Below are 14,438 nucleotides of genomic sequence, written 5' to 3' on the forward strand. Positions count from 1 at the left end.
GCTTCCTGTCACCATGGTCTCTCAGTAAGTTTTGTAGTTAATTTTAGCTGCTTTACATGTATCCAACAATTTCATTCTATTTTCATTAAAATTAACTATCTATGAAAGGCTTTGGAGGAAATTTGTGAATTTTTTCTCTTTTTGCTCCTCTTCTCACTTTTCAAACCTGTTTATTGCCCTTTGCTAATAATAATGGTAAAGACTACGATTTGTGTGTGTTGTATATGCCTTAGCTAAATTTCATAACATCTCTGTGATATTTAGATGAGGAAACAGAAGCTCAATAAGATTTAGTAGCTGTCTCAAGTGTACAAAGCTAGTAAGTATTAAAGCCAGAATGCAAACAAGCCCAAGACTGAGTCCAAAAAGCCTAGGCTCTTCGCCACTGCCTTCTACTCTGAGCACTCTTCTTCTTGTTTGCCTTTCCCCTGGGGATCCCTGACCGCTTATCACCCTGGACTTTGACAGTTCCAGAAAACACTCTGTATCTATTATATGTAATTTTCATTTTATTTTATTTTTTAGAAACAGTCTTGCTCTGTCACCCAGGCTAGAGTGCAGTGGTGCAGTCATAACTCATTGCAGCTTTGATGTGTCTGTGTAATTTTTAAGTAGTCAGGTTTTATATTTACTTCTTTCGTTGATATAGTCTAAAATTGAAATTGTATTTTTCAGGGCTTTGGGGAAAGAACCCTGGTAATTATCTAGGAGATCAGTTGCTGGGCATTGCTGATCGGATAACTCAGAGCTCATAAATAAGCATTTGTGAGTCCCAGCATTGCTTTTGAGACTTTTATTGTGCCTGAGTTAAGACTTCCCTTCTTCAGGAAGGCGCCACTGTGGACTGCTCTAATATTAAGGAGTTGAAGCTTCCATAGATTTCCTTTTTTATGGCCTCCATATCTCAAACCCTTTTGTGACTTGTCATTTGCCATGACCCTTGTACAGTCACATCTCTTCACTGAAATTTCTTTCTCCCTTGAAAATCCAGTTGTAAGTGTGGGGTGGGACAGATGTGATGATAGCAGAATAAGGTGGGAATAAAAGCAGAAACGAACTAGGAAATGGGAAAAAGTGTAGTCCTGTGGCATGGCCCGTGTGCCTTGTTAAAACAAAAAAATAGACTAGTTGTGACCATAGCTGGGATCAGGTATGGAACTGGCAGATTAGGACTAGAAATAAAATTGTACATTTAGGAGAGAAATTTAAAAGGAAGACTGTAGAGTTCTAAATAAAACCACTTCTATAAAACATTTCATAGTACAGGATTGTAATCAGTCTTGCTTTCTCTAAGTGACATAGGATTCTGCAACTTCCTTAAAATGTTTCATGTTGTCAAAATTTTGCATGCTTGAAATAACCTAGGTGGGGACAGTTTGAAAGTGGGAATGTGAAGCAAGTAAACCTTGAAGTTCTTTCTAGTCACATCAGTGATAATCTAGAGTCATCTGTCTCTATTTAAGGCAAATTTCTGGGAGGAGATGGACTTAACTCTTTTGGATGGTGAATAAAGATGTTTAGAGTGGGAAAAAAAAGGCAAACAAAACACACACACACACACACACACACACACACACACACACACCCCAGAGATTCAGTAGCTACTCCAAGAACATATAAATAAGTGCTGTCATTTTTTTTTTAATATATGCTGTATTAGGCTGTTCTTGTGTTGCTGTAAAGAAATACCTGAGACTGGGTAATTTATAAAGAAAAGATGTTTAATTGGCCCACAGTTCTGCAGGCTGTACAAGCATGGCACGGACATCGCTCGACTTCTAGTGGGAACCTCAGGAAATTTTTACTCATGGCAGAAGGTGAAGCAGGAGCAGGCATGTCACATGGTAAAAGCAGGAGTGAAAGAGTTTTCTGTTGAGCGAGATGCCACACTTTACAACAAGCAGATCTCACAAGGACTCACTCACCATCATGAGGGCAGCACCAAGGGAGTGGTGCCAACCCATTCATTAGACATCTACCCCCATGATCTAGTCACCTCCCACCAGGCCCTACCTCCAGCATTAGGGATTACAGCTTGACATAAGATTTGAGTGGGGAAAAATACTCAAATCTCATGTCCTTCTTATATTGCAAAATACAATCATGCCTTCCTAATAGTCTCCCAAAATCTTAACTGACTGCAGCATTAATTCAAAAGTCCCAAGCCCAAGTCTCATTTGAGACAAGGAAAGTCCCTTCTACCTATGAGCCTGTAAAATAAAAAAGCAAAAACAAGTTACTTACTTCCAAGACACAAAGGGGCTATAGGCATTGGGTAAATATTCCCAGGCCTTGGGCAGCTCCACCATTGTAGCTTTACAAGGTTCAACCCCCACAGCTGTTCTCACAGGTTGTTCAGTGCCTGTAGCTTTTCCAGGCACAGGGTGTAAGCTGCCAATGAATCTACTATTCTGGAGTCTGGAGGACAATGTCCCCCTTCTCACAGCTCCACTAGGCAGTACCCTGGCGGGGACTCTGAATGGGGCTCCAACACCACATTTCCCCTCCACACTGCCCTACTAAAGGTGCTTTGTGGGGGCTCCATCCCTGCAGCAGGCTTCTACCTGGGCACCCAGGTTTTCTCATCCTCTGAAATCTAGGCAGAGGCTGCCAAGCATTCTTCGCTCTTGAACTCTGTGTGCCTGCAGGCTTAACACCACATGGAAGCCACCAAGACTTACGGCTTGCATTCTGTAAATGGCAGCCCAAGCTGTACCTCAGCCTCTTTGAGCCATGGCTGGAGCTGGAGTGGCCTGAATGCTGGGATCCCAAGGCTGCACAGGGCAGTGGGGCCCTGGGTCTGACCTATAAACCCATTCAGTCCTCCTGGGCCTCTGGGCCTGTGGTGGGAGGGGCTGCTGCAAAGGTCTCTGAAATACCTTTGAAGCCTTTTCCCCGTAGTCTTGGATATTAGCACTTGGCTCCCTTTTAGTTATGCAGATATCTGTAGCATGCGGTTGCCCCACAGCCTGCTTGAATTTCTCTCCAGAAAAAACTTTTTTTTTCTTTGCCACATGGTTAGGCTGCAAATTTTCTGAATGTTTGTGCTCTGCTTCCTGTTTAAATATAAATTCCAGCTTTAAATCATTTATTTGACCCTTCAGCTAAGATAGGCTGTTAGAAGCAGCCAGGTTACCTCTTGAATACTTTGCTGCTTAAAAATTTCTTCTACCATATATACTAGGTTGTCACTCTTTAGTGCAGAGTTCCACAGATCCCTAGGGCATGAATAGAATGCAAGTCAAGCTCTTTGCTGAGACGTAACACGTGTGACCTTTGCACAAGTTCCCAGTAACCTTCTCATTTCCATCTCAGACCTCAGCAGCCTGACTTTACTGTCCATATCACTATCAATGTTTTGGTCACAACCATTTAAACAGTCTCTTAAGAAGTTCCAAACTTTGCCTCATCTTCCTATCTTCTTCTGAGCCCTCCAAACTCTGCCTGTTTCCCAGTTCCAAAACCAGTTCCACATTTTCAGGTATCTTTATAACAACACCCCATCCTCGGCACCAATTTTCTTTGTTAGGCTCTTCTTGCATTGCTATAAAGAAATACCTGAGACTGGGTAATTTATAAAGAAAAGAGGTTTAATTGGCTCACGATTCTGCAGGCTGTACAAGCATGCACCGACATCACTCTGCTTCTGGGGAGGCCTCAGGAAGCTTTTACTCATGGCAGGAGATGAAGCAGGAGCAGGCGTGTCATATGGTTACACAGGAGCAAGAGAGAGTGGGGGCAGGTGCCACACTTTACAAACAACCAGATCTCACAAGAACTCATTATCAGGAGGACAGCACCAAGAGAGATGGTGCTAAACCATTCATTAGAAATTCACCCTCATGATCCAGTCACCTCCCAGCAAGCTCCACCTCCAACACTGGAGAATACAATTTGACATGAGATTTAGACAAGGACATATATTCAAACACATGCGTTGTGTTTCCATCTGGATTATAAATTCTTTGAAGGCAAGTGTTCATGAATTTGTATTATTTTGTCATCCAAAATGTCTAGTATAGGACTTTGTGGGCATTAAATACATGTATTGGCTGATTGAGTTTCTCGTGGTCTTCAGGATCTGTTGTTGTAAATGTTCTTTGGTTTTCAAATATATTGCAAATTCTACTATTTTTTTCCTATTTAATAAATTGGCTTCTCCTGAGATCATCGTTCCTGCTCCTGGAACACTTTTCCACCCTAAATTTTACTTTTTAAATCTTTCTTATTGTTTTTGTTTGCCTTCTGTTGCTTTACAGTGAGACTAAGGTCTACTCTCAACTTCAAAGCCCTTTTTCTGGCTTTTAATTGTGACAGTTTTCAAAATTCAAAAAGTTGAAAGAGTAGTGTAATGATCACCTTTCACTCACCTAGACCACCTAGAATCAACAGTTGTTTACATTTTTTCATACTTGTCTTATTTGTGTGTATTTATGTTTTATAGGGGTGAATGTCATGACATCTGTGGCATACTTTCACATGGTTCAGCTTGAAGCTCTTTATTGAACTATATAAACTCCCCGGCAGTCTCATTTCCTTTCTTCCAATTTTTAACAATTGTTCCACTGACATATTAGGAGGATCTCATTCTTATGACACTTTTGAAATTTCTTTGTCTTGCTGCAAGAGTTGATATTTAGAGTTATTGCAAATGTAGCATATTTACAAATATATTGTAAATGGCTGTATTCTATATTCTGTGTTAAGGTTGACTTTAATTTTAATTGACTTCACATTCCTCAGCATGTGTGAGATGGTAATTCTTGAAATTTCAGATCCTCACAATTTAGAAAAGGAAGAATAAAAGTGCTGTGAAAGCTAAGATGAACTGAATATTCAAGCTGTGTTTGATTACTTTGCTGAACATCAAAAATAGGTCCATAATTTAGTGTTGATATCTATGATAGACTTTCTTACAAAAGTAGTGTGGAAAGGTGTCAGAAGAGACAAGAAGGAAGAAAAGTAGAGGAATAAAAGCATCAGAAATAAAAAGTTACGGTAGCAACAGTTGAGTTTACCTACTTTGTTTCTGCAGTCCAGCTTTTTAACTTGTTTCCTCGTGTTAAAGAAGCAAGGAATCCCTAGTTCATGAGGCTACTATCAGAATTGTGCGTGATAGTTATTATCTTCCTTTTCCCTAGACTAGTGGCCAGGACAAGTATAATGGATAGGCATTAATAAGGTTCAGAAGGCTGACTGTCTTAGTGTCCTTTAAAAACACTGGAATAGCCTAGTTGCACTACTTGGATGGATGGGAGACGAGAGGAAGGAAGAGCCTTTCACAGAAACCCTTATGCTGATAAACCTTTATTCAGACTCAGGAATGGCAGTTTCTTTAAGATAATAGATTACAGCTGCTATGTTTATTATTTGTTATAGTTATTGTGTGCCAATTATGGACCAGCTTCTGCGTGTACTGTTTTCTATTTTATTATGATATCATTCAGTTCCCACATTCAAAATTATTACTTGCCCAAGAGCACTTAATAAAAGTAGACCTAGGATTTGAAGTGAACCCAGCATTCTGATGATACATTCTTTCTAAGGAGAATTGGAAGCTGCTTCATCAGATCAGGAAGGGTTGACAAATAAGGTACATTTAATGGGTATTAGATATTAGATGAAATGCCAAACGTAGATGGATAAAAACTAATAACATGTAGATAAGAAAATGAGGGAGGAAAGGGTGTGAAAACCCCCCGTGGGCTATGTACTGAAATGGAATAAGAGTGATAGTAATTGGTTTAAATGACACCAAGTTTTATAAACAGAAGATTAACATGGTTTCTGGAAAAGAAGTTTTCCTGGTCTCTAGAGTTACTGGAAGATTTGCTGTAGTTTTAGAAGGAGCCAATGAGTTTGATTTCTAAAGTTTTGACAACATTGTTTTTTAAAGGTTAAAATGGAATTTAAAGGAAGTGTGGCTTGGGTTGGCTTAAGGGCTGAGTGAGGTGGAGTGAGAGAAATCCATGGGGAGTGCTGACAGTGGAGATTTCCAGGACTGGTGCTTGAGGCTAATTTGGGTTTTAAATTTAGAAAAGAGAATGCACATGAAATACTTTAATTTGCTAGTGGTACAAATCTCTGTATGTAGCATAATGTAAAGCTAATGAAAATATATTTTCAGAAGCTCTCTTCAAGTTATATGAGACAGCAAAAAGTAAATTAATTTGCTCAAGGACAAATTGAGAAAGTATATCTGAAGAGAAACAGTTACCATGTTTTTGAGATGATGAGCTCCAAGCTGTCAGTTTAGAACATAGGAAGGAAATAAAGAACTGTCCATGAAGAATTTAAGCTTCTGGGTAGAAAGGCTAATGAAAGTAACAGTGTTATTCTATACTTACATGAAACTTTAACATGTAAATCTTAAACTTTGCTGTAATTCTCTATGACATGCCTTTTAAGAAGGATATGAGAATAGGGCAAGGTCCTGAGAAGAGCAGCTGGCATGATCAAGGAGATAGGTGATTCAGAAGATTGAGACTCAAAGGAGATAGGAGAGAGTGCAGAAAATGAGAATAATGTTTTCCCTCAATCTTAGACTCTTAGAGCCAAAAGTTGTCCCATGAAACTTCAGAGAGGACATCATAAGCTAAGCAAAAATTTGTATTACTTCATCAATTGGGTAGAAATGGGAGAAACATTTACCCTAAATTTATATGCCCTGAGACAGTGTCCTAAAATTTTTCACATGGCCTCAGGCTTTCAAACTTTATGCCTTGTGTTCGACCCTCTGAGATTTGAATTCAAATAATAGTGAAAAATACCTGGAAAACAGTGCTGAAGGAAGTACTAGAATTCTAATCCAGCTTACTGCTTGTTTTTATAGGGCCTTCAGGCTAAGAATTATTTTTACATTTTTAAGTGGTTGGAGAAAACAAATCAAAAGAAGGATAATATTTAGGGATGAGTGAAAATTACATGAGAATAAAATATCAGTGCCGTAAGTGAAAGTTTTATTGGGCTACAGCCATGCTCACTTGTGGATGTAGTGTCTACGGCTGCTTTTGCACTACGGCAGTGGCAGAGACCCAATGTCCTGTAAAGCCTAAGACATTACTCTCTGGCCCTTTACAGGAAAAGTTTGCCAGCCTCTTGGATAGACTAATAAAATTAGCGTCATTTTTCCAGGAAAAGAAAAGATTGTAGTGGCTAGAGGAAAAATGTTAAATAGATGAAGAAACACTGTATACAGTCATGAACCGCATAACGTTTTGGTCAACGACAGACCAGTGGCCTTATAAGATGATAATGGAGCTAAAAATTCCTATTGCCTAGTGACATCATAGCCATTGTAACATCACAGTGTAATTACCTTATTTTTAAAAAATTTAGCATAGCCTAAGTTTACAGTGTGTAAGTCTACAGTTGTGTACAGTAGTGTCCTAGGCCTTCACATTCATTCACCGCTCACTCACCCAGAGCAGCTTCCAGCCTTGCAAGTTCTATTCATGGTAAGTGCCCTATGCAGGTGTAACATTTTCTCCTTTTAGACTGCATTTTGATTGTACCTATTCTATGTTTAGATGTGTTTAGCTACACAAATACCATTGTGTTAACAGTTGCCCACAGTATTTAGTACAATCCCATGTTGTTTAAGTATGTGATGGACCACACCATATATATACCCCCAGGTGTGTAGTAGGCTACACCATCTAGATTTGTGTGGGTATGCTCTGTGATAGTCCCACAACAAAATCCCCTAATAACACGTTTCTCCAAACACATCCCTGTCGTTAAGTGACACATGGCCGTAAAGGGTGCTGAGCATCATGCTGTTCTTTCCCGTGCTGTTCTTTCTGTTTCTGGTCTAACACAGAGGCCGTTAGCCTCCTGGGACTATTTACATTTAATTAAATACAACTTAAAATTCAGTTCTTCAGCTACATTGACTGCATTCCAAGTGCCCAATAGCCACATGTGGCTGGTGGCCACCATATTTGAAGAACATTTCCATCATTGCTTAAAACTCTGCTGGACATGGCTATGTAATAGTAAATACGGTACTTTATGCCAGGTGCTGCTCTTGAATCTTCTCAAAAACTTCTTGAAGTAGGGATTATTATCACTTCTGTTCTACAGATCAGAACGTTGAGGAACAGGGAAGTGAAGAAACTTGCCTAGAATCACACAACTAGTGTCAGAGGCAGGATTTAAACCCACACAGCCTAGCTTCAGAGTCTTGCTTCTTAATCATTTCGTGCTGAGAAAGGTTGAGAGTGAGGAATACGCTTAATTGTAGCAAGAGGGACATGGCTTATGTGTTGACAGTGCTGTACAGATTTTGAAAAACAAAACATAGAAAAGTTGTGTAGAGTATAATAGCTGCATTCCTTCCTAGAAGGAAATCGAGAGATAGGAACTGGACTAGTATTTTGGAGACCCTTCAGTCTTCTTTATGTTAAATGGATCATTTGAATTCTGACATATCTTCATAGCAGTGTTGACCCTTTCTAATTAGTGGAAATTATTTTGGCAAAGGAAGCCATTAAATGGGAATTTTGTCTTCACAACGGTTGTATGTATTTGTGTTAATTCAAGCATGCTGTATTGCTACAATATCATGTCCTATTACCTTGTTAGCTGTGTTGAAGTCTGTGTTGCTGTTGCATTATAATTTCACTTGAGTAGAGGTGTAGGGGCCACATATGATGCTGTTGTCGGTATTACATGCAAAGGCTAATGCCCTCTGTTGTATAGCATGAATATTGGGTGAGCATTTTAGTGGATGAACACTTCCCTCTTCTGAATATTACTAAATTTATTTGGTTTTATTTTAACAAATGCATAGCATTTCATGTGTCAGGCACTATTTGGAGTACTTTGTAAACGTTAACTTATTTAATCTCCCTATCCCTATGAGAAATACTGGTTTTTTTTTTTTTTTTGAAACGGAGTTTCGCTCTGTTGCCCAGGCTGGAGTGTAGTGGTGTGATCTTGGCTCACTGCAACCTCTGCCTCCAGGGTTCAAGCAATTCTCCTGCCCCAGCCTCCCCAGTAGCTGGGATTACAGGTATGTGCCAATACACCCGGCTAATTTTGTATTTTTAGTAGAAACGGGGTTTCGCCATGTTGACCAGGCTGGTCTCAATCTCCTGACCTCAGGTGATCCGCCCGCCTTGGCCTCCCAAAGTGCTGGGGTTACAGGCATGAGCCACTGTGCCCAGCCGAGAAATACTGTTATCCTCATTTTGCAGTTAAGGAAACTGAAGCACCCATGAAGCACATTTGACCCATGTGGTCAAATGTTTAATAATTTGACCACAGTCACACAGTTAGACAAGTGATGGCCCCGGGATTTGAACCCAGGCAGTTTGACCACAGAACCTGTAATCTTGCCTGCTGTGTTTTGCTGCCTTTCTGGTGGCAGTGGACTATTGATTTGTTTTGATTGTACACCAACCGTCTCGTCTTGCTTTGGGGGATGTTAGCAAGTGTAGAGGACTGTTGACAGCACTAGTAAGTGAAATCAAAATGACAAGTGTGGCTCCGTGGCACTCCCAGAAGCCTCATGACTAGTCCAAAGGCAGTGTACAGCTCTAACTCTATAAAATAAATACTTGTCCCAGCTGAACAGCTCTTAATCATTTTTTGATTAGCACCAAAGGTACTTCAGGGCACACGTGACTTGCTGGCTTCTTCAGCTAGTAAATTCTGTCATGAGTAGCCTGAGCTCCTTTTTTGAGAGGGTGGGTCAGTGTTATGGGTCCTGTAGGACTTCAGCTACACCTGGGAGAAATTTTGGAAGCTTCAGTAGGAAAGTGTAGCTTAAAATTAGCCTATATTTCCCAGGAAGTTGATACAGCTTATCTCCCTCTACCCTGTTGTTGAGCTTGATCTGGTCATTGCCACCTTCTTCACTGCTACTACCTTGTAGTTCAGTGTTCTTAAATTGATGGAAGAGGTCCTTCAAAGTTAGACCATGTGGTCATTGGCTATCCCTGTGTGTTTAAGAGTACATGTGCATGGAATTGTATTTCCAGTATAGTTAATCTAGAAATTTCTAACCAACTTGGCAGCATTTCTTGGTTGCTTGCTGTGAAAATGCTAAAAAAATTTGTTTAAAAATTTTTGTGCTGCAGAGTGTAATACCAAATTTGGAAACCAGATTTTTAAAAACAGCATCTATATTAATATGATAAATGCTTTTAGTTAAAATATCTTATTAATTTTTTAGAAAATTTAGAAAGCATTTAAAAACTATTGGAGACATTTGCAACTCTGAAAATTATTTGTGTATTTTTAAAATTAATTATTTAAAAAAATTTTAAGACACAGCCTTGCTCTGTCACCCAGGCTGGAGTGCAGTGGCGCCATCATAGCTCACTGTAACTTCAAACTCCTGGGCTCAAGTGATCTTCCTGCCTCAGCCTCACAAGTAGCTAGGAATACAGGCTCATGCCATTGTGCCCAGCTAATTTTAAAAAATTAAAAAAAAATTTTTGTAGGAACGGGGTCTCGCTGTATTGCCCGGGCTAGTCACAAACTCCTGGCCTCAAGTGATCTCCCACCTCAGCCTCCTAAGGGGCTGGCATTACAGGTGTGAGCCACCATTCCTGGCCTTACTTTGGTATATTTTAAATGTATATAAATCCAGTCAGTGAATGGATTTGTAAGAGAATTGTTTAAAGTTGACTGGAATTATAACATTTTACATTTCAGACATGTCAAATTCTTTTTTAATTCTAAGCATGACTTAAGGCTTTGTGTCCTGTTGTTTATATTCTAATTTTGTGTTTCCTTATTTTCAGGCCGAAATAGAACTATTTGTGAACAGACTTGATTCAGTGGAATCAGTTCTTCCTTATGAATACACAGCGTAAGTTTTTCAGCTTGGCTTTTATATAAAATTTTATGTGACTCATCAGAATTTTGTACATTGAGAACTTTGTTTTCTCACAGTTATGGACAAGCCTGAAAATATTTTTTAAGGTGTACTCTTCCAAGGTGTGGTTAAAAATGTGATCTTTTTTTTAATGTTTCTTTGTAATACAACAGAAGCACTGACTAAACAATGGATTTCTTTTTTTATCTGACTAAACAAAAAGCTATTTTGTTTTCTTAACATTTTAAAATTATAAATAGCTCCACATATTTTTAAACAAAATTTTTATGTCCCACATAATCAGTTCCCAGAAATAACTACTTTGATGTCTACCTCCACATTTTTTCTCTGAATAAATAGTCTAATCTATATAATCACATTTATACATTTTTGTTTTAAACAGAAGTAGATTCATAGTATTTATTTTTATTTTTATTTTTTTGAGACAGAGTCTCACTGTATTGCCCAGGCTCAAGTACAGTGGCGCAATCTTGGCTTGCTGCAACCTCTGCCTCCCGCGTTCAGGCGAATCTCCTGCCTCAGCCTCGCAAGTAGCTGGGATTATAGATGCATGCCACCACGTCTGGCTAAGTTTTGTATTTTTGGTAGAGATGGGTTTCACCATGTTAGCCAGGCTGGTCTCAAACTCCTGGGCTCAAATGATTCACCCACCTTGGCCTCCCAAAGTGATGGGATTACAGGCGTGAGCCACTGCACCTGGCCCATACTATTATTTTTGATTGGCACCTTGTTTTTCTCATTGAATACATTGTGGGCATCTTTCCATGTCAATACATAGCTACCTCACTCTTTTTAGTAGCTGTTATTATTTCCATTTTAGAAATTGTATAGATTCCATGTACACTTACTTTCACTAGTTTCCTATTTACCAACATTTGATTATTTCCAGGTTCTTTGTTTGCTTTTGAGACAAGGTCTTGCTCTGTTGCCCAGGCTGGAGTGCAGTGGCACGATCATGGCTCACTGCAGCCACAACATCCTGGGCTTAGGTGATCCTCTCATCTCAGCCTCCTGAATAGCTGGGACTACAGGCGTGTGCAACCATGCCCAGCTAATTTTTTTTTTTTTTTTTTTTTTTAATTTTTTGTGGTGATGGAGTACCACTCTGTTGTCCAGGCTGTCCTTAAACTCTTGGGTTCAAGTGATCCTTACACCTTGGCCTCCCAAGGTGCTGGGATTACAGGCATGAGCCATTGTGCCTGGCCCAGTTTTTTGATATTGTGAAAAACGCTGCATGAATATCCTTTATTCATTTGACCATTGTATACCATATTGGGTCTAAAACTGTTGCTAAAATTTAGTTTAATTTCTCAGCTGTTTAAGAGTTTTAAAAGAAAATAGTTTGCTGTAGAGAAAAGTATACACAAAAAAGTTACGACTATCCTAAAGAATTCATATATCTAAGTATGTCTAAGAAAAGAATACAGAAGACATGAATGGGTAGACTATAATTCATCTAATTATTGGATACTTAAATTTTTTTCCAGTTTTTGTTTTGTTAAACATCTTTAAATCTTTGTGGATATTCTTAGGAAAAGTCAGTGGATCTGTGGAGAATCTTCATTTGGGAACTTCCCAGCCCCAGTTTTTTTTTTTTTTTAATCACCAGAGACCCACCTTCCTCTTTAGGAATCTCACTAATCTGTTACTATTACTGTACTGATCTCAGATATTCCCCATATCATTCCAGAGTGAGCACAGAACTGCCCTTTAATTTTCTGTGGCAAAGCTGAAATTAAGCTGTAATGTTTAAACAGAACTTTATTAAAGTTGGTTAGTAATACAAGGGAATTACAACACAGGGAATCTTATAGGTGACTGACTACATCTTCTCCACAGCACTCTTCACAGAGGGTCTTTTTAGCCATGCTTCACATATTGGGATGTGTTGGCAAGTGTACTGAGATGAGACAACTGCAGGTAGACTTGACATACATTACTGAAATGTCATTTTTAATTAAAGATTTGAATTAGATAATAGCAAGGAGATAAGTTATGCAAAATTTGCTTGAATAATAAGGATCTAAATAATTTTATTATTGGAGTGAACAAAAATGAATTATAATGAGTCAATTAAAAGATATTGTAATATGCATTCTAATAAGAGAATGTTATTTAGAAAAAAATATTCGAAGGCATAATTTTAGGTGTTTTGTTTTTTTATGAGGAGAGATGTGGTACATAGGACTTGGAGTATGGATAGATTTCTTACTCATCTACTAGAGCTGCTACAATGATCAGTACCTAATCTGCTCTCAAGATTGGCTAGGTGTTTGATATTTCATCGTTCCCTTTTATGTGTAAAAATTTAAATATTCTTCTCCCAGGTTTGATTTTTGCCAAGCATCAGAAGGAAAGCGCCCATCTGAAAATCTTGGTCAGGTACTATTCGGGGAAAGAATTGAACCTTCACCATATAAGGTTTGTATTTAGTGTTACATAATAATTATTTACTTACAGCTTTTGTTTTTGTTATTTAAGAAAAGCCTGAGATAACTCAGCTATCATTGCTAAGGAGGAGTTCATTTCTCTTTTTCATCTAGGAATAGGTTCTTAAAATCAAAGTTAGAAGGATCCTTCTCCTTCTCACAGTGTGTCATTGATAAGTCTGTCTTAATGAACATTCACGCAACTAATGTTAGGAATGTTAAGACGGTGGCTTAAAGGGCAGGGCTCAGATGCTCTGCCTCCTTTACAGAGGGTCCTGAAACCCGGGTCCTGGAACCCAGCTTCCAGTCATGAGAGGTTGTCTCAGCTGCTCTGTGTCTCTTTCCCCCTGTTTTCCAGCAGTATCTAGAGACACTCTCCGTTAGCACGTACAATGCTGCCTGGGCTCCCGCACTGGGATTTTTGGAAGCTAATCTTTCTTTTTTTTTTCCAGACAGAGTCTTGCTCTGTCGCCCAGGCTGCAGTGTAGTGGTGAGATCTCAGCTCACTGCAACCTCTGCCTCCCGGGTTCAAGCAATTCTCGTGCCTCAGCTTCCCGAGTAGCTGGGACTATAGGTGCATGGCACCATGCCCAGCCAACTTTTTGTATTTTTAGTAGAGATGGGGTTCCAACATATTGGTCAGGCTGGTCTCAAACTCCTGAACTCAAGTGATTTGCCCGCCTCGGCCTCCCAAAGTGTTGAGATTACAGATTTGAGCCAGTATGCCTAGCCTAACCTTTCTATTTTGATGTATTTGGAACATCTTTGGTACATTTTTCGAACACCAGTTAAACCAAACTAAGCACAATATAAGGTATTCTTTTCAACATATGTACTTCATCATCTCTCAGAATTCTTTTGCCTTTAAATCTGTTATCTTTTAAGCCTATTATCCTTCCACATTGCATAATCCCTGTTTGTTTTGTATCTGTTCTCCTACTGTACAAAGAACAATGGTCTTTTGCTTTTAGAAACATTAAAGTAGTTTATTATAATAATGTATCACCATATAAAAAAATTAAATGATGCAAAAGAATAAATAATAATAAATGTGCAGTTCCACTTCACAGTTTGTTATTAAAATTTCCTGAAAATTTTCATACACCTATAAGCTTACATTAAATAGATTAGATTTACTTATTTGTTTTAACATACTATAT

At 38.9% G+C, this 14,438-nt stretch overlaps 1 protein-coding gene across 1 annotated transcript in view; it reads left to right on the forward strand.

Moving 5' to 3' along the window:
* TM9SF2 (transmembrane 9 superfamily member 2) overlaps window positions 1-14,438 on the forward strand; it is a 62,577-nt gene that overhangs the window by 5,388 nt on the left and 42,751 nt on the right. The window contains exons 2-3 of the mRNA NM_004800.3: window positions 10,755-10,822; window positions 13,177-13,270. Of these exons, the coding sequence (NP_004791.1) occupies window positions 10,755-10,822; window positions 13,177-13,270 (162 nt within the window). The remainder of the gene's footprint in view (window positions 1-10,754; window positions 10,823-13,176; window positions 13,271-14,438) is intronic.

This window comes from Homo sapiens, chromosome 13, assembly GCF_000001405.40.
Source record: "Homo sapiens chromosome 13, GRCh38.p14 Primary Assembly".
Taxonomy (NCBI): domain Eukaryota; kingdom Metazoa; phylum Chordata; class Mammalia; order Primates; family Hominidae; genus Homo; species Homo sapiens.